At 40.1% G+C, this 17,809-nt stretch overlaps 1 protein-coding gene and 1 pseudogene across 3 annotated transcripts in view, besides 1 other annotated feature; both read right to left on the bottom strand.

Annotated features, from left to right (window-relative positions):
• UNC80 (unc-80 subunit of NALCN channel complex) overlaps positions 1–17,809 on the bottom strand; it is a 227,465-nt gene that overhangs the window by 180,716 nt on the left and 28,940 nt on the right. For all 3 annotated transcript variants that reach the window (NM_032504.2, NM_001371986.1, NM_182587.4), the window contains exons 8-11: positions 4,740–5,001; positions 3,190–3,324; positions 1,456–1,672; positions 629–769 (exon numbers count right to left, since the gene is read on the bottom strand). In NM_032504.2, coding sequence (NP_115893.1) covers positions 629–769; positions 1,456–1,672; positions 3,190–3,324; positions 4,740–5,001 — 755 coding nt within the window. The remainder of the gene's footprint in view (positions 1–628; positions 770–1,455; positions 1,673–3,189; positions 3,325–4,739; positions 5,002–17,809) is intronic.
• Positions 402–696: a silencer, noted in NCBI's record as "tiled region #8450; K562 Repressive non-DNase unmatched - State 24:Quies". NCBI's record gives its function as "represses a minimal TATA promoter and a strong SV40 promoter by Sharpr-MPRA in K562 cells {active_cell/tissue: K562}" and the evidence as "EXISTENCE:reporter gene assay evidence [ECO:0000049][PMID:27701403]".
• Positions 8,157–9,857, bottom strand: SNAI1P1 (snail family zinc finger 1 pseudogene 1; annotated as a pseudogene).

Below are 17,809 nucleotides of genomic sequence, written 5' to 3'. Positions count from 1 at the left end.
TAAAAGTAACTGAAAATAAATTTGTGGTGGTAACTAACAGATATCATTGAATACCTGAAATACAGTGCAGATCAAAGAGGGACTAAATTTATGCTTCTATGAGAACATAAGAAAAAAATCAATTATTCTGTTAAAAGTACAGAATGAGAACCTGTCTTGGATTATACCCAGAGACACATGTTTGCTGCACACAAAACACACAAGAACTTATCTAAAATAGAAGCTGTCTCAAAAAAAAAAAAAATTGGTGGCCTTGGAAGGCAGTGACTTTCCTCCCGCTGAAGGTATACAAGCCCTTCAGAGAGATCTCATAGAGGGAATCGAAGCACTGAATCTAGATGTCTTCCAAGGTCTCTTTCAGCCCTGTGGGTCTATGAGCTTTTGAAAAGAAATATGAATGGCTTGTCCTTGCTCTCCCTGTGAGAGGTATGGTGTTTACAGTGCGGTGTTAAATAGTTCTTGCTACTAAGGATATGCTAAGAATGGCTAACAAAAGCAATTCAGCACAAGAATGCCAGTTTTCAGAAAACACAGGAAGCGGATTACAATGGGAAAGTAACATGGTGTAAGGACAGAAAACAAAAAAAGAACTCTGAACTCCTGCCCGTAGGCCCCACCTCCTACCCACCTTCCTTGACGGTGTTTTCTCCATGGCTGTTGGAGGGGTCCGGCAGGTCGCTTACCAGGGTGTGATGGGAGTGGGAATGCCTGGCGCTCAGACTCTCCATCTCAGTGGCTGCATCTGAACTGCCTCGCCGGGTCAATTTCCCTGGGATGAATAAGAGCACCCCACAAGAGGGTTTTAAAATCTGAAAGTTATTCTGCCAAGATATTGTCTTTCCCAAGGACAGCAGGGAGAGTGTGGGGCTGTTAGGAAAAGTGTGAAACACAGACAAAAAAAGCAAGAACTGAACTTGCCATGGGGATATTCAGGGTCAGGATGATTGATGAAGCTGCCTGTGATAAGGTCAGCCCCAATCTTAGCCAAATGTCAGAAACCGTCTGTTGTGGCCCAGCTAGCTGTCAGCTCCCAATTTTAAATTGGCCTATTTAGTATGCAATCCAGAAAGAAAATATATATAATATATATATTTTTTTTCCTTTGCTTTGCTTTTTTCAAAAAAAATCCAAGTTTAATAAAAATCTGCTGTGTAGATTCACAATGGAAATTAATGCACAGAGCACCCTAAGGCCATGTTTCTTTGTCTAGAATGATCTAAGAAATAAGATTGTTACCTGTCCAATTTCACAGAACTCTTGCATAATTACGTCAATTATCTGGATTTATTTGGCTGTGAAAACACAGCATTATTTTGGTACTGGAGAACCTGAATTTGAGCCCCAAATTTCTTGGCTGAATTGTTCAAGAAAGATTCAGATTTGCCCAGAAGCCCTAGATCCAGTTCTAAACAGGTCACTTAAACTCTGCCCTATTTTGGAAGGCCTTGTGGTCACCTAAAATGGTGGTTTGCCAGCCTCCTTTCTCAATTCCTCGCCTGTCTTCTCCCAGCCCAGAGAAACTTCCAAAGGAGAATGTGCTGCGCGTGGGGGACACATCCAGGTGGTCCTCGTGAAGCAGGAAGGGCACTCCCATTCTCCGTGGCCTCCTCTTGCCTGTGTGGTGGAATGGAATGGAGCCTTTCCTCTCTCGGTCTTCTTTGCGGCTCTTGAACTACAGTGATGAGAGGTGTAGAATTAGGCACAGGGCAAAGAAAAGGTTACAATCTGCTTCCCAAGGGGCTCCATGATCTGCAGTAAAATACAAGAAATGTGCCAGGAAGAGAAGACCCAGAAAGTCACTGAATATCATCCAATAAAAATGGGAGAAATTTCACATTAAAAGAGTGAAAGAAACTAAGTAAAAGGCCATGTATTCCGTGGGCCTTTCTCCTGGGTTTGGTTAGACTAGTGGTTTGCAAAGTGTGGTCCCTGGACCAGCAGCATCAGCATCACTTGGGAACTTATTAGAAATGCAAATTCTCAGACATATTATATTAGACCCTCAGAAGCTGAGGTCCAGCAATGTGTGTCTTAACAAGTCTGGTAGGTAATTCTGATGCACACTAAAGTTTGCAAATCACAAGGTTAGAGTCACTACTTGAACCAGCCTCTCTTTTTCTGTTTCATTTTTCATGATGGTGATCCATTGTTTCAGTTAGCCAACTTTAAATGTGCGCCACTGTTCGTAAGAAGAGTCAAAGAAGATACAGACCATACATTGCCACAAACCCATCATTCCTACCAAACAAGTTCAAAACCAAGTGCAACTAAAAGTTTAGAACTGCTAGGGAAGCTTTTAAAATATAACAATTCCTTAGCCTACCTTCAGCAATTCTGGTTTAATTGGTCTGGGATTGAATCTGAAGATGTATTTTTTAAAGCTCCTTAAAAATTATCATATGCAGCCTGTATTGAAAACCACTTTTTTCCTTTCAAATGATCAATGTTTTAAGAAAATTGATAGCCATTGTCTTTTGTTGCATCATTAACAAAGGCAGAAAACTGCTTACTTAGCAACACTTTCAGCTCATAATAAGTTAATATCGTGTTCTGTGTTCTTTGTTGGCATAACTAAACTAACAGTTTTGAAAAAGAGAAAGCAAACCACTATATATATACATATACACAGGTCTACACATATTATTTTCTGTTTATCTCCAATTACTTACAAAAAAGAGAGGCAGAGTAATGGCAGAAAAATATAACGTATTTAACTAGAAGACCTACTTTTGAGTTTGGACTCAATCTTGGGCAAACTACCTAAAATTTCTAAGGGTCAATTTCTTACCTGCAAAATGAGGAGAATAAGGATGTCATTGGATTAAATGAGAACTATTTATATAAAGTACTTGATAAAAATGAGTTGAACCAAAAATGAGTTGAAAGTTACCATCATCGTTACCACAACTACTTCCACCACCACACTACTTTACACTGCTTTATGCATATGATCAGAATTGAGCTTCATGACAACCCTGTGGAGCATTTAGAATAGGAAGTTCACTCATTCACACAGAGGGACTTGCACAGGGGTATGCTGCAAGTCAGTGTCACATCTAGGAGCTGACTTCGGTTTCTAAGTTCCCTTTCCCACCTCACCCCATACTGCAGTATCATCAGAAACATCTCATGTCCCACTGACATTTTTTATTTACCAAAATATCAAAGAGCATAAGCATTTCTACTCACCTTTTTAAAAATATTCATGCCCAGGTCTGAAGAAAGATCTGGGACTGCAGATCTACGCAGATTGGTCAGTGAAACCTTGGAAAAGGCCTCAGAGCTAAGAGATTTTTCCTCCTCGTTACACTTCATGGTGAGATCCTTAATAAAGGTAGACAGTGATCAAGGACTTAGGACTTTACATCCAAATACTGTTCTTATTGAAATGTCACATTTTTAATAGGGATGCGCCTATAGCTTTGACATCTTTGAACAATTGAACTTGTATGTCTGGACTTCTGGAATCCAAATTCTGCTAGTGAGAATATATATTTCATATTAATTGTAATTTCTGTTTGAAGTTTTCAGTAGTGAGGTCATGTAGCCCCAGATTTAGAATGCTAAGAAAATAGAGAGAAGATGGATCTCTCTTTTTTTTTTAATTAAAAAGAGTGTTTTGTTTTGTTTTTTCCATTGAATGATTCAGTAAAGCAGATATCCACTTAGGCAGAATATCTACTACTAAAACAGATTATATTTCCTTTTAACTCTGCTATTGCTCATGTTTGTTTTCAGAATATGCAGAAAAAAATTTCAGACTCAGCCAATTCACATTTAAGTAAATCCAAACAACTGGAACACACTACAAGTCACATTTTTCTCTACATTTTCAACACCTGGTGTTGACGAGAAAGAGGGCAAGAACAAGTGTTCAAGCTGGTATTAGGTCATTCATTTACCAAAAAGCAATTGCCATGAAGATATCACCATATCAGTACACATTCAGTTTACTTCTCTAAACATTTATAATAAATAGCAAGACTATCAAAATGCAATATTCCTAATGATGACATTAAGACACTGGAAAATGTTGGCCAGGCGCGGTGGCTCATGCCTGTAATCCCAGCACTTTGGGAGGCTAAAGCAGGTGGATCACGAGGTCAGGAGATCGAGACAATCCTGGCTAACACGGTGAAACCCTGTCTCTACTGAAAAAATACAAAAAAATTAGCCGGGTGTGGTGGCGGGCGCCTGTAGTCCTGCAGTCCCAGCTACTCAGGAGGCTGAGGCAGGAGAATGGCGTGAACCCGGTAGGCGGAGCTTGCAGTGAGCCAAGATCGTGCCACTGCACCCCAGCCTGGGCGACAGAGCGAGACTTCATCTCAAAAAAAAAAAAGACACTGGAAATGTTGAGTTATGCAAAAGAGGTTACATCACGTTTAGTAAAATCCTATGTTACAGATTTTATGATATTGGTAATCAACAGATTTAATGTCAGAACTCTCTATTAATTACTACTTTGATTATCCAGAAGACCCAATTTTCCACTATTCCAGATAAACAAAGACTTATACTAAATTAGCATGTGCAAGAGGTGCACTTCTTCAAATGATTAAGTGCTAAAGCCAGCAAAGGGTCAAGCATGCAAGATGGAAGGGAAAAGATAATAGAAACAGTGTAACCCACCAACCAAAAAGTCAGCACTAGAGTACCTAAGAGCTGGATGCACAGAGAAAAAAAGAATCCATTATGGCAAAGTTGCTGGTTTGAATGACAATGAACCGGGTTTTTCTTACTTGGGTTTTGTGGGTGTTCACTAGTGAGGGAGCTGCTGCCACCATGGAGCTACTCCTGGGTCTGGGCAGGAGAGGAATATCTGGCTCCGGAGGCTTTTCTGGCTTCTCTTCCAACATGTGTCGCAGCCTTTGTAGATAGTACATCAGAGACCACTGAGTGCCTTCCTCAGACCAATGGGGCTGAAGTAGGCAGCGCAGAACAGCAACGTCAAAGTAGGTGGCATAGCGGGACCTTTGGCACGGAGGTATCACAAGAGAGGCCCTGTTCCATGGCAGAAAGAAGATAATTATACTGACAATCAAGCTTTCAGAGGGGCAGCACAGCATGGCTTATAGCTCTACTTTTCTCATTTGTTTAGTTATTCATTTACTTGTTTCTTACGTAGTTTACTCTAATATCCTTCCAACTGGTCTCTCTCATTCCACTTTCACTAAACATCTCCTGAAAGTAGAGATATTGAGAGAGTTTTGAAGGATGGATAGGAATTAGCAAGGCAAAGTTGAGGTTTGGGCAGGAGGGAGGATTAGCATTTCTGTCAGAGGGAACAATGCCTACAAAGGCATGAATTTTAAAAACCACGAGTTTGAAGGGGAGACCCTAAGTAATTGGTGAGTAATTTGGGTGATGGACAATGATGAGAGTGAGAGCTATAGAAATAGATGAGGTTCAGATTAAAATGCTTCCTTTATGCTAAGATCAGGTTTGACTTTTACCCTGATAGAAACAGAAATGATATTTGCCTTGCCTACTTCATTGAGCTATTTTAATTTCAGTTGTGAAAATATTATGTAAAATAACTAAGGAAAAGCTACAAAATGCTAAGAAACAGAAGTTTTGCTATGAGGAAAATAAATAAAATAAGTTTGAAAATTCTAAAGTTATATATCCTTGCAAGAGAGCAAGACTAATTTTTTAAAAATCTCAAGTTCCTGGGATTCTATTATTCAATTTGAACACATAATATATTCATTACCTAGTGTTCAATTTAATTCTACTACAAAGTAGTTTTAAGAAATTACTCAGATTAATACACCATCCTATGTATCTTAGGTTCAACAAATTGAATGTTTGTGTCCCACAAAATTCAGATTTAAAGGTAAGTTTAACTTTCTCACCTTGAACATGTGGTCTGGTAAGAAAGACAGACAATAAGTGACAAAATATAAACTTAGAACTTCCGGGATCCAAGATGGTATCTTAAATCTAAAATCTAAACTTAACTCCCAAGCACAATTTCCTTCTGATTTAGGTGATGCAAAAGAGAGATGTTTGTACCCTACCATGAACTAGCAAATGATGCTACCCACATACAAAGTGCTCTCACAAAAAACGCAGCCACAGAGAGTGAGTAGGGATTTTCCTAAACTTCTTAGGCTCATATTTTTTTAATTAAAAAATCTACGGCTCACTAGTGGTTCAAGAAAATAATTCCATAGGACACAGCTACTATTTTAACCTATTAACTAGAATAAAAACTATGGTGCCAGGCGCGGTGGCTCACGCCTGTAATCCCAGCACTTTGGGAGGCCGAGGCGGACGGATCACGGGGTCAGGAGGTCGACACCATCCTGGCTAACACGGTGAAACCCCGTCTCTACTAAAAATAGAAAAAAAAAAAAAAAAATTAGCCGCTCTTGGTGGCGGGCGCCTGTAGTCTCAGCTACTCCGGAGGCTGAGGCAGGAGAATGGCGTGAACCCGGGAGGCGGAGCTTGCAGTGAGCCGAGATAGCGCCACTGCACTCCAGCCTGGGCTACGGAGCGAGACTCCATCTCAAAAAAACAAAACAGAACAAAAACAAAAACAAAAATACTATGGAGTAAGGACTTGGATGTTTGGTGAAACTTTTGTCTCACTTAATGACCATTTGTTTTGAGTCATTGGTAAAATACATTTCTGACTGTGGGTTTCAGTAAAAAGTTCAAAAATACAAATCCAAACCGTATCTGTGCCCTGCAAATTATTTTTACAGCTCTTCTACTTCCCTATCGAAGCACATACCATACTTTATTATTTTTTCTCTTGTTAATAGCATTGTCTGATGGATTGAGGTACAATTGCCTGTGTACACAATGGTTTTGAATTTCAATGCTATCTTACAGTCTAATATTCTTGAATATTTTGACAAGTAGGAAATAAATATAAACTGAAGTTCAAACACAGAAGTGAGTTGGCAGTCATATGAAAAGAAGCCTTCTACAATCCCTAAATTCCCGTATATGCTATGCCAGAGTTTATCCTTTTTCCAGAGACCTAGAATATTCTTTGGACATCCGTTTTGTGACAACTTTTAATCTATCATAAAGTCTTACAGAATCTCCTTCCAACCACTTCTCATCAGTTCCACAGACACCACCCTAGTTCTAGCCACTAACATCTCTCATCAGGCTTATTGCAATTACTTCCTATTAATCTACTAGTTTTTCCTCTTATTCCTCCACTCCCTGGCTCAAATCCTTTCAATATATTATTCAATCCCCTTAGAATAAAATGCAAGCTCCCTTACAGTAGTGAACCAGGCCTGAATAGTCTGGCTGGGTTTACCATTCCAAACTCATTCTCTATTATGCTTGCCCTGGTGTGCCAGTTATTGATTTATTGCCTCTCAGCCCCAAATACATTTTTGGGTAAAAAGCCCTGTTTTAATATTTTCTCAAATTGTCCAGCATGCCACTTGATTACTCCTGAGACCCTGAGTGCCACTTGTGTATCCTGAGACCCAGTTTGAAGGAAACTAAAAACTTTGATTTTCATTTCTACCCATTTCCTAAAAGGCTTTCACTGCTCTCCCTTCGCCCACCCATCCCATTTCTCCTTCTTAAAGATGAATGACGCACGCAACCCACTCCTCTCAGCCTATCATTTATACCTCAGATGACAGGATTTCCTTCCCCCCACCCCCATGCTGTAATCTTGGATTTATAAACAAAAGACAAAGTATAGGGTTGGCTGGCTACCAGCTGGGTAATTTTAGGTCCTCAAGGCTTTGTGAAAATCATTTGATTTATTATAAGAGCCTGTGAAACTGTTGTTTTCTTGACTAGTCTGCTGTGGTTAAGACAGTTATTATTAGTTCGACCAAATTATTTCCTCCCCATTGGAATAGCTGGTAGTTGTTCTTCACCCGTTACCCTCTGCCCCACACTTTAAAGTCCCCAAATGTTTCTAGTTAGTAAATTAGATTAGGGAGTTCCATAAATTACTTCAAATCCCTAGAGCAGTGCTCCATATGAGATAACCATGAACCACGTTCATGAGAATCCTTCCTTCCAAGAAGGATACGAAGGAGGGAGGTTGTTAAAAACGCAGGCACCAGGTCTTGCCCCAGACTTCCTAAACCAGAATTTCAGAGGATGAGGTCCAGGAATCTTTATTTTAAACAACATTCTCAGGTACTCCTTGAATACTCTTTTTAAAAAATACACAAATTGCTTTATTGGATATCAATAAACTGCACACATTAACTATACAAAACGTTTCCTTGATACAAAATGTATGAAATATAAGTACCAATGTACTTTTAAAAATGTAAACATCTTCCTCCCAGGCCTACCTGTTGGGTTCCCAAAATAGTTCTGGGAGATACATTGGGCAGACCAGAGCACCCCACTTAGGCCACCGACAAGTGACAACCATTACTTACAGTCCCTCTTGAGACATTGTTAAATTGCCTGGGAAACAGGTGCCAACCACACCAAACAGGAAGCTGAAATAGCTGCTCAGGCCCAGAGCATCTTAGGCTCTGACACGTCCTGGTGTCAGCCACCGCCTTCGAAGGCCCCATGGCTGAAACTGGGGGTGGATTATTGCATAGTCAAACCTCGCGGAGGGTGGCCTGAGGGCTCCTTCGGGGAAGGAGTGGGGAGGGTCCCCTGACTGGGGTGGACACTGTCTGTCAGCTCTTGTCCTGTAGCTCAAACAGCTGTATCCAAACAGTTCTAAATACACAAACACATGCAGAAAAGCCAGTTCAAGAATGCCCCCAAGCTGGGGCTGCCAGCTGCCCTCCCGCCAGCCATCCACAGACATGGCCACGGGAAGGCCTCTTTCAGAGTCCACTGAAGGATCCAGCAGAGGAAACAGAACCGGAAAATGGTTTTCATCAAAGTCCCGTGCGGCTGATGCATCCAGAAATGGGGGCGCTCAGGAGGGAATTCTGTGGCATGAGGACATGGTGTACTCCTTCCTTCTGGAGCTTGGGGAGGCTGTTGGTTGGCGGGGGCAGGGTGTCTGGTAGGGAGAGGAAGAGGGAGCCTCTAGGGTCAGCGAGGGCCCCCTGAGCAGCCCGACTCTTGGTGCTTGTGGAGCAGGGCCATTCGGGAGAAGGTTCGAGCGCACGCCTGGCACTGGTACTTCTTGACGTCCAAGTGGGTCTGGAGGTGGGCCCGCAGGTTGGAGCGGTCGGCGAAGGCACGGCTGCAGTGGGTACAGGAGAAGGGCTTCTCACCAGTGTGGGTCCGGACATGGCCCCGCAGCAGCCAGGGTCTGGAGAAGGCCTTCCCGCAGGTTTCGCAGGCGAAGGGCAGCGTGTGGCTTCGGATGTGTTTCTTGAGGGCACCCAGGCTGAGGCATTCCTTATTGCAGTATTGGCAGTTGAAGGCTTTTTGAAACTGGGAATCCTTGGCCTCAGAGACCTGGGCCAGCTGCTTGCACACTTGGCCCAAGCCTGGGAAGGTGGTATCGGCCTCCGCCTCCAAGGAAGAAGCTGAAGTGGAGGAGAAAGACGAAGAAGGCTGTGAACGTGGGCTGGGGGACTGGGAGCCTTTCCCGCTGTCCTCATCCGACAGTGAGGTCAGTTCTGCCGCCTTGAAACTCTCTTGGGGGAGTCTCAGTTGGAGGGAGGCCCTGGCAGTTGGTTGTGCTTGGAGCGCCAGGAAGGCGTCCCAGATGAGTGTTGGCAGCAAAGCAGTGGAGTTAAGGTGGGCCTGGTGGTAGGGCTGCTGCTGGAAGGTAAACTCTGGATTCGAGTCCGGCAGTTTGCTGTAGTTGGGCTTCCGATCAGGGTCAGGGAGCTTCCTGACGAGGAAAGAGCGCGGCATGGTGGCAGAGGCAACGAGGTCGCTGAGTAGCGCAGAAGTAGCGCAGGCGACCCACTCACTAGGCCGAGCCTTGGAGCAATGAGTGCAGCCGCTCCGCCAACTCCCTTAAGTACTCCAGGGGAGCAGGGTGGGACCTTTCCGGCCACGCCTCTTTATCACTTTCGCGCCAATTGGAGGCGTGCCTCCCCCTAAGGCCACGCTCTGAGCAAGTGGGCCGGGCCTGGCTGGGCTCGCGCAGTAGCAGCCTGGGCCCGCCTTACTTTTTTTTTTTTTTTTTTTAGTGGCGCGATATCGGCTCACTACAACCTCCGCTTCCGGGTTCAAGTGATTCTCCTGCCTCAATCTCCTGAGTAGCTGAGATTACAGGTGCCCGCCACGACGCCTGGCTAATTTTTGTATTTTTAGTAGAGAGGAGGTTTCTCCATGTTGGCCAGGCTGGTCTCGAACATCTGACCTCAGGTGACCCACTCGCCTCGGCTTCCCAAAGTGCTAGGATTACAGGCGTGAACCACCACGCCCAGCCTTGAACACTCTTAATAATCCTATATGGAATCACCGTAACTGAGAAGATACGCTGACGGTGTTGTCCCTGAGGGCAACAGATGACTAAATTGGTATCTTTCTCTATATACAAAATGTATTGTTTGAAAGTAATTACCAACTGTACAGTTGAGTCCCATAAGCATTAACTATTTTCTAACAGGGCATGTTAGTTCAGCAGATGATGGGCTGCAGAACAGCAAGACTCCAACAACATAAGGCTGTGATCAGAGACTAGAAACATATCCGTATCTTATGTAATCAAAATTTGTTAAGTAAAATCACATTTCAATTGATTGATATTGAAAGAGACTCCATTTGAAAATATCAATAAATTAACAAGACGTTCAGTAGCAAATATTTAAGTACCTCCCTTTAAGGTGTTATCCAATCACTAGTTTATTTGACTTAATGTGTGAGCTGTACTGCACTTAATATTCAATAAAAAGCAAGAACTATCAATAAATATTTTTATTTCATTTAAGATAGTATTATCAGGTACGATCAAAGTATCACCATCCAATAAAAGTCATTTTAATTAACCAGCAGACTAACATGTGAGAAATAAATTTTCACAACTGGATAAAAATGACATGAGGGAGGCCAGGTGTGGTGGCTCATGCCTGTAATCTGAGCACTTTGGGAGGCTGAGGCAGGCGGATCACGAGGTCAGGAGATCGAGACCATCCTGGCTAACACGGTGAAACCCCGTTTCTACTAAAAATACAAAAAATAGCTGGGCGTGGTGGTGGGCGCCTATAGTCCCAGCTACTTGGGAGGCTGAGGCAGAAGAATGGCGTGAACCCAGGAGGCAGAGCTTGCAGTGAGCCGAGACAGCACCACTGCACTCCAGCCTGGGCGACACAGCAAGACTCCGTCTCAAAAAAAAAAAAAAAAAATGACATGAGGGAAGCTTCTTAGATCATGTGATAGAAAAGTTCTTTTCAACTCTAATATCCTCTGAATCTAAAAGTTATTTCCTGGAAAAAATTAAAAATGAAAATGTTATAAAATAATATGAATACAACTTTTCTTCTAAATGATATATGTAAAAATAATGAAGAAAAGCACATATATAAAAAGTTATTAATGTTTATAGCTACCTGATGGCTCATGGATGATTTTCACTTATTTTAAAAATATTGTATGTGTTTACATTTTTTCTGTAATTGACCCTATACAAAATTATATGCATAAGAATAAACAACATGTTATGACAGAAAAGAATTTCAAAACTGGCAAGAATTTCTTTAGTCTACTTTCCAAGCAACTATGGCTTTGGAAAGTCAAGTTATCATTAATTAGGGTTGAGACCTGATAGCAGAAAGTATTGAAGGCAGATAAGCACTCCGGAAATAACAATCTATGGAAGCAAAGAACTGTCAGTCTTGACTCTATGCAGTATTTACTGAAGCATAAATCAACTCTCTGCATATAGTAATTAAAGATGAAATCTAACATTAATTTAAAAACTAGCTACCTGTTTACTTATTGCAGAGTGCAGAGAAGACTGATGTGCAGTTCACTTAAGTTCAGAGCAAAAGAGATAATGAATTGTATTTGATACATGCAGACAGCTTTTGTTACTAGGATATTGGCATTGTTTTGTTATTAAAGTTCTCTTCTTTTCTGATTAATGCATGAGCTCTTCCAATAAAGACACATGAACATTTGTATTTTCTGAAAGTTTTACTTTGCATCATTTCCATGGCAACCAACCACTGCAGCTGGGCAGAGAGAAAACCTCATTCATTTTTCCAAAGTGCCACTGATTCATGTCTAATTAACACATGTGGGTGTACGTTGCTGTGGGCGACTACGCACATATATGTCAGGGAATGCATATAAATATATATATAGAGAGAGAGCTTGAGTATTGACATATCAGAGAATAAGAAAAAAATATCTGTTCACAAATAGTAGTCTTGAACATTATAGCTGGCTTTTGTTTTTACTGGCAAATCAGAATGGAACCATTAACACTTGATTTTGTCAGAGAAAAGAAACATCATTTACTGTCTACATGTCTATATTTGTAAATTTCTATGCTTATTATGGATGAGAAAGATTATATAAGAAATATAAGCTAATGAATATTTTTATGACCTCAGGATTTTACACTGTTCTTGGTTTTTATGATATGTTTAAAAGTCAGACAGAAGCGTAGCATTTGAAGTAAAAGATTACTTACTCTTATTTGAAATTAAGTTAAACTTTTTGGAATTTGTATAAAACAGAATTAGTGGACAAGGAATGCTCAACAATTGATGTGAAAAAATATGTACAGAAATAGCCACAAAAATTTTAATATATTAAATGATGGTGACATTATCATTATTACAGCCAGCCTCCAACATAGCCCCCGATGATCCCTGCCTCCTGCTATTCACATTCTATTGTGGTCCCTTCCCACTCTGCACTAAAATTAGTTGGTGTGATCCAAAGAGTATAGCAGAATTGATGGTATGTCATTTCAGAGATTAGGTTGTAAAAGATTAGGTTATAAAAGATTAGGTTATAAAAGATTAGGTTATAGAAGATTAGGTTATAGAAGATTAGGTTATAAAAGCATCCATTTTTGATGCTCCCTTTCTTTCTTGAATAATTTGTTTTGGGGAAACCAGATTCTATGTTATGAGCAGCCCTATGGAGAGACACAGATGGTGAGGAATTGTGTCCTCTGGCCAATGGCCATCTGAGTGAGCTTGAAAGCAAAGCCTTCAGACCAGTCAAGCCTTCAGATACCTGCAGGCCTGGCCAACAGCTTGAGAGACTCTGTGCCACAATCACTCAGCTAAGCTGTTTCAGCATTCATGATCCTCAGAAACTATGCAAAAAAATAAACGTCCTTTGTTTTAAACTGCTAGGATTTGGGATAATTTGTTACATAGAAATTGACAGCTAATACAGATTTTGGAACCAAGATAAAACCCTAATTTTGAAAATTGTTTCTTAACAAGAAGTAAGGAGTGTACTATTGGGAACTGGAGAAGGAGAATCCTTGTTATGTAGTAACAGAAAGTTGCTTAGCTGTGATGTGGAAAGTTAAAAAATAAGTGCCTAACAAACTGGGTGATCTAACAAAGGAGACTTCCAAATAAAATGTTGAAGGTGCCTTCTAATTTCTTCTTGCTCTTATAGTAAGTTGAGGGAGAAAAGTTATGAACTAAAGGAAGAACTGTTAAAGACTAATGAGCTGGAACTTGATTTTGAAAAATCTCAGCTTCTCCAGATGGGAAATAATGCTAAAATTAAGAAATGGCTTCTGATAATACATCAAATATAAAGAACTTTTGGAAAAATGTGGTCTAAAGATGAAGCCAAGGGTGGGAGTTGCACAGTCATTTGTTGACTTCAGAATGATCTCAGGCCATACCCAAGAATACCGTTCCATTAGATAAAAGGCCCTTTCGGAGCTTGCAGTGAGCCGAGATTGCGCCACTACACTCCAGCCTGGGTGACAGAGCGAGACTTTGTCTCAAAAAAAAAACAAAACAAAACAAAAAAAAAACTCTCTAAATTAAATGTTGAGAGTGTGATTCAAATCCAAATATTTATAACTTTTTTACATATATATATATATAACTTCTAAGAAACTTAAGGGCACTTAAGTTTCTTAGAGGTTCAACAGAAGCACAAAATAGAAATGAGATTATCTCAGAGATTTGTAGATGTGGATTTTTTCCATTCTAGTGGACCCTAAAAAGATTCACAGTGAACCCACAAAGTTTTAAAAATAATTGTATCAGCAAAAACACTTCCAGAGACAGTACAAGAGGAAAAAAGAGGCTATTAGACTCCCAAAACTTTACTGGCAGGAAGCAAGCTGAGGAAACTACTCAGCTGTAAACACATGCAATCTTTTTTGAAAAAGGAAAGCTGATTTGGAGGATAGAATTAATAGCCCAGAGGGTGGAGCCAAGAACCATGGGCAGGAATAGCACTGAGTTTTAATCAAGGACCTTCCAATATTTTTCCACCTTAATTTCAAAACTAATAAGGACGAGTGCCTCTCATTTTCTCTCTTTGATTATACATGTCCAGAGCAGGTATCCTATGCCTATTTTACCACTGTATGTTGGGCGTGTTTGGTGCAGATAACCATATCTCTTTAGTCCACAGGTATTTTAAATCACTTTGGTAACATCTCATAGGTAATAGATGAGTAGGAAGTAATGATTAATGTAGAAATACTTGTTTGGAAGCAGTTGCAGAAATCTAAATAAAGGCTGGGAATGGCAGCTCACACCTGTAATCCCAGCACTGTGAAAGGCTGAGGCAGGAGGATCACTTGAGGCCAGGGGTTCAAGACCAGCCTGGGCAACATAGCAAGACCACGTCTCTACAAAAAAAATGTTTTTAAAAATAGTGGGACTTGATGGTGCACATTGTATTCTTATCCACTTGGGAGGCTGTGGCAGAAGAATTGCTTAAGCCTAGGAGTCTGAGGTTACAGTGAGCTGTCATCATGCCACTGCACTCCAGTCTCAGTGGCAGAGTGAGACCCTGTCTCTAAAAAATTAAATTAAAAAAAGAAATCCAAGTAAGAAATGATAAGGATATGAACCAAGCCAGTGACTATGAGGTTGGAGAAAAAAGATTTGACAGACATTAAGAAGGCAGAATGTAAAGGACTTGATGTGGAGTGAACCTCATATTTTTGACTAGAATATCTAGGCCAATAATGGTGGCATATACTGACATAGAAATAAATGAATATATGAATATTTAAATAATACAATAAATGTAGAGACTCTAGTACAATTTTGTACACATAGATATCCAAAAAGGTAGTTCTTATTGTTATTCTCTTAGTCTGTGTCCTAAGTAACTACCTTTCCCCAAATCTGATTTAATTATGTCATTGATAACTTTGTTGTCATCAAATAAAATGAAACCCTTGTGGAGGTGCTGGTGGTCATAATGGTTACTTTTGAGTCAGTGGAAGGCTAATATAGGAAGAGTTTGTACATCTTCAAAAGAACTGTGTAGCCAGATTTTAGGAGAAACGCCCTTGATTCCCATCTGATGGTGTTCACACCCTTTATCATCTTCTCTTGAGTGCAGGCAGGAACTGTGATGTATTTATGACCAATAAAATATGGAAAAGGTAAAGGGATGTCACTCCCATAATTAGGTTACCTTATATGACAAAGGTAATGAGACATCACTCCTGTGGTTGTGTCACATTGTAAACACTGTATTAGCAGACTGGAATTAGAGAGGATTTCTCTCCCTTGCTGGTTTTGAACAAATCAGCTACCATATTTTGAGGTAGCTTATGAAGAGGGCCATGTGGAAAATAACTGTGGGCAGGCTTCAGAAACTAAGACCAGTCACCAGCCAATATCCAGCAAGAAAACAAGGACCTTAGTCCTAGAACTGCAAGGAAATGAATTCTGTCAACAACCTGAGAGAAACTGTAACTGGATATTTCCCCAGTTAAGCCTGTGAGGCAACTGCAGTCCATGCCAACACCTAGATTTCAGCTTGGTAAGACCCTGAAGCAGAGAACTCAACTAACTTGTGCCTGGGTTTTCCCCTAAAATCGAAAGATAATAAATGTGTGTTACAGAGAAGTTAAAAAAAATGCAAGAACCATAGACAGAAACTACAGAAAAACAAATTTTGATGATGTATAAGAAGGACATTCCACTAAACAGAGCTACCTAAAACTAAAACAAACTTCAAGAGGGAGCACTAAATTGATCATTGCTTAAAGTTGTTAGTACATTAGCTAAGTTATAGGAGATGGGATTGATTATCCTCACAGAGTTCCTTCCATATTACTTTTAAAATTTTTAACTTTCAAATTTTTGTTTTAAATTGATGGATAATATTATATATTTATGAAGTACAATGTGATGTTTTAATATATGTTCATATTATGGCATGATTAACTCAAACTAAGTTACAGATTCATCATCATCTCACATACTTTTTTTGTGGTAAAAATATTTAAAACCTGCTCTTTTAATAATTTTGAAATAAACAATGCTTTATTGTTTATTATAGTCACCACTCTGTGCAACAGATCACTAAAGCTCCTTCCTCTCATCTAACTGAAATTTTATACCCTTTGATCAACATCTCCCTTTCCCCATCCATCCCCCTCTCCCAGCTTCTGATAACTACCATTCTACTCTACTTCTACAAGTTCAACACTTTTTAAGATTCCATGTATATTATATAATTTTAAATGCTTATCGCCATTGACCTGGGACAGTAAATCAGTGGATAAATACAAACAACCCTGTTTACACAACCAAAATTGCTATCAAAATTTCATATTCTCTACCAGCAGAAGATTATTCAACTAGGCCACTTGCTTTTAAAGTCCAAAGAAAGACACAAAGACATATACATTATTTACATATTATTTTTTTAAAGCGCAAGATAGTAGTATTTTGGTTAAAAAATTGTATTAATATGACTGTGCTTTAAACAATTCTAAGAAATCTTTCAAAAACAATGCACCCATGTAGCCTGATTCTAGTGCCAGTTGGAGGTAGATCATTTAAAAATTATCAAATGAAAAGGTAAGTCAGATAAAAAGCAAAAAAAAAAAAAAAAAGCAGGGGTTGGCCGGGCATGGTAGATCACACCTGTAATCCCAGCACTTTGGGAGGCCGAGGTGGGTGGATCACAAGGTCTGGAGTTCAAGACCAGCCTGGCCTACATGGTGAAACCCCATCTCTACTAAAAATACAAAAATTAGTCAGGCGTGGTAGCAGGCACCTGTAATCCCAGCTACTCGGGAGGCTGAGGCAGGAGAATCGCTTGAATCCAAGAGGCAGAGATTGCAGTGAGCCGAGATTGTGCCACTGCACTTCAGCCTGGACAACAGAGGAAGATTCCGTCAAAAAAAAAAAAAAAAAAAAAAAAAGCAGGGGTTGCAATCCTAGTCTCTGACAAAACAGACTTTAAACCAGCAAAGATCAAAAAAGGCAAAGAAAGGCATTACATAATGGTGAAGGGAACAATTCAATAGGAAGAGCTATTTTAAATATATATGTACCCAATACAGGAGCACCCAGATTCATAAAACAAGTTCTTAGAGACCTAAAAAGAGACTTAGACTCCCAAACAGTAATAGTGGGAGACTTTAACACCCCAATGTCAGTATTACACAGATCAATGAGACAGAAAATTAACAAGGATATTCAGGGCTTGAACTAAGCTCTAGATCAAGCAGACTTAGTAGACGTTTACAGAACTCTCTACCCCAAGTCAACAGAATATTCATTCTTCTCAGTGTCACTTGGCACTTATTCTAAAATCGACTACATAATTGGAAGTAGAACACTCCTCAGCAAATGCAATAGAACTGAAATCATAACAAACAGTCTCACAGACCACAGTGTAATCAAATTAGAAATTGGGATTAAGAAACTCAAAACCACATGATTTCATGAAAATTGAACAACTTGCTCCTGAATGACTCCTGGGTAAATAATGAAATTAAGGCAGAAATCAAGAAGTTATTTGAAAC

This window comes from Homo sapiens, chromosome 2 (assembly GCF_000001405.40).
Source record: "Homo sapiens chromosome 2, GRCh38.p14 Primary Assembly".
Taxonomy (NCBI): domain Eukaryota; kingdom Metazoa; phylum Chordata; class Mammalia; order Primates; family Hominidae; genus Homo; species Homo sapiens.
The sequence above is the reverse complement of the archived record's forward strand: the minus strand, read 5'-3'. Positions and strand labels throughout refer to the sequence as shown.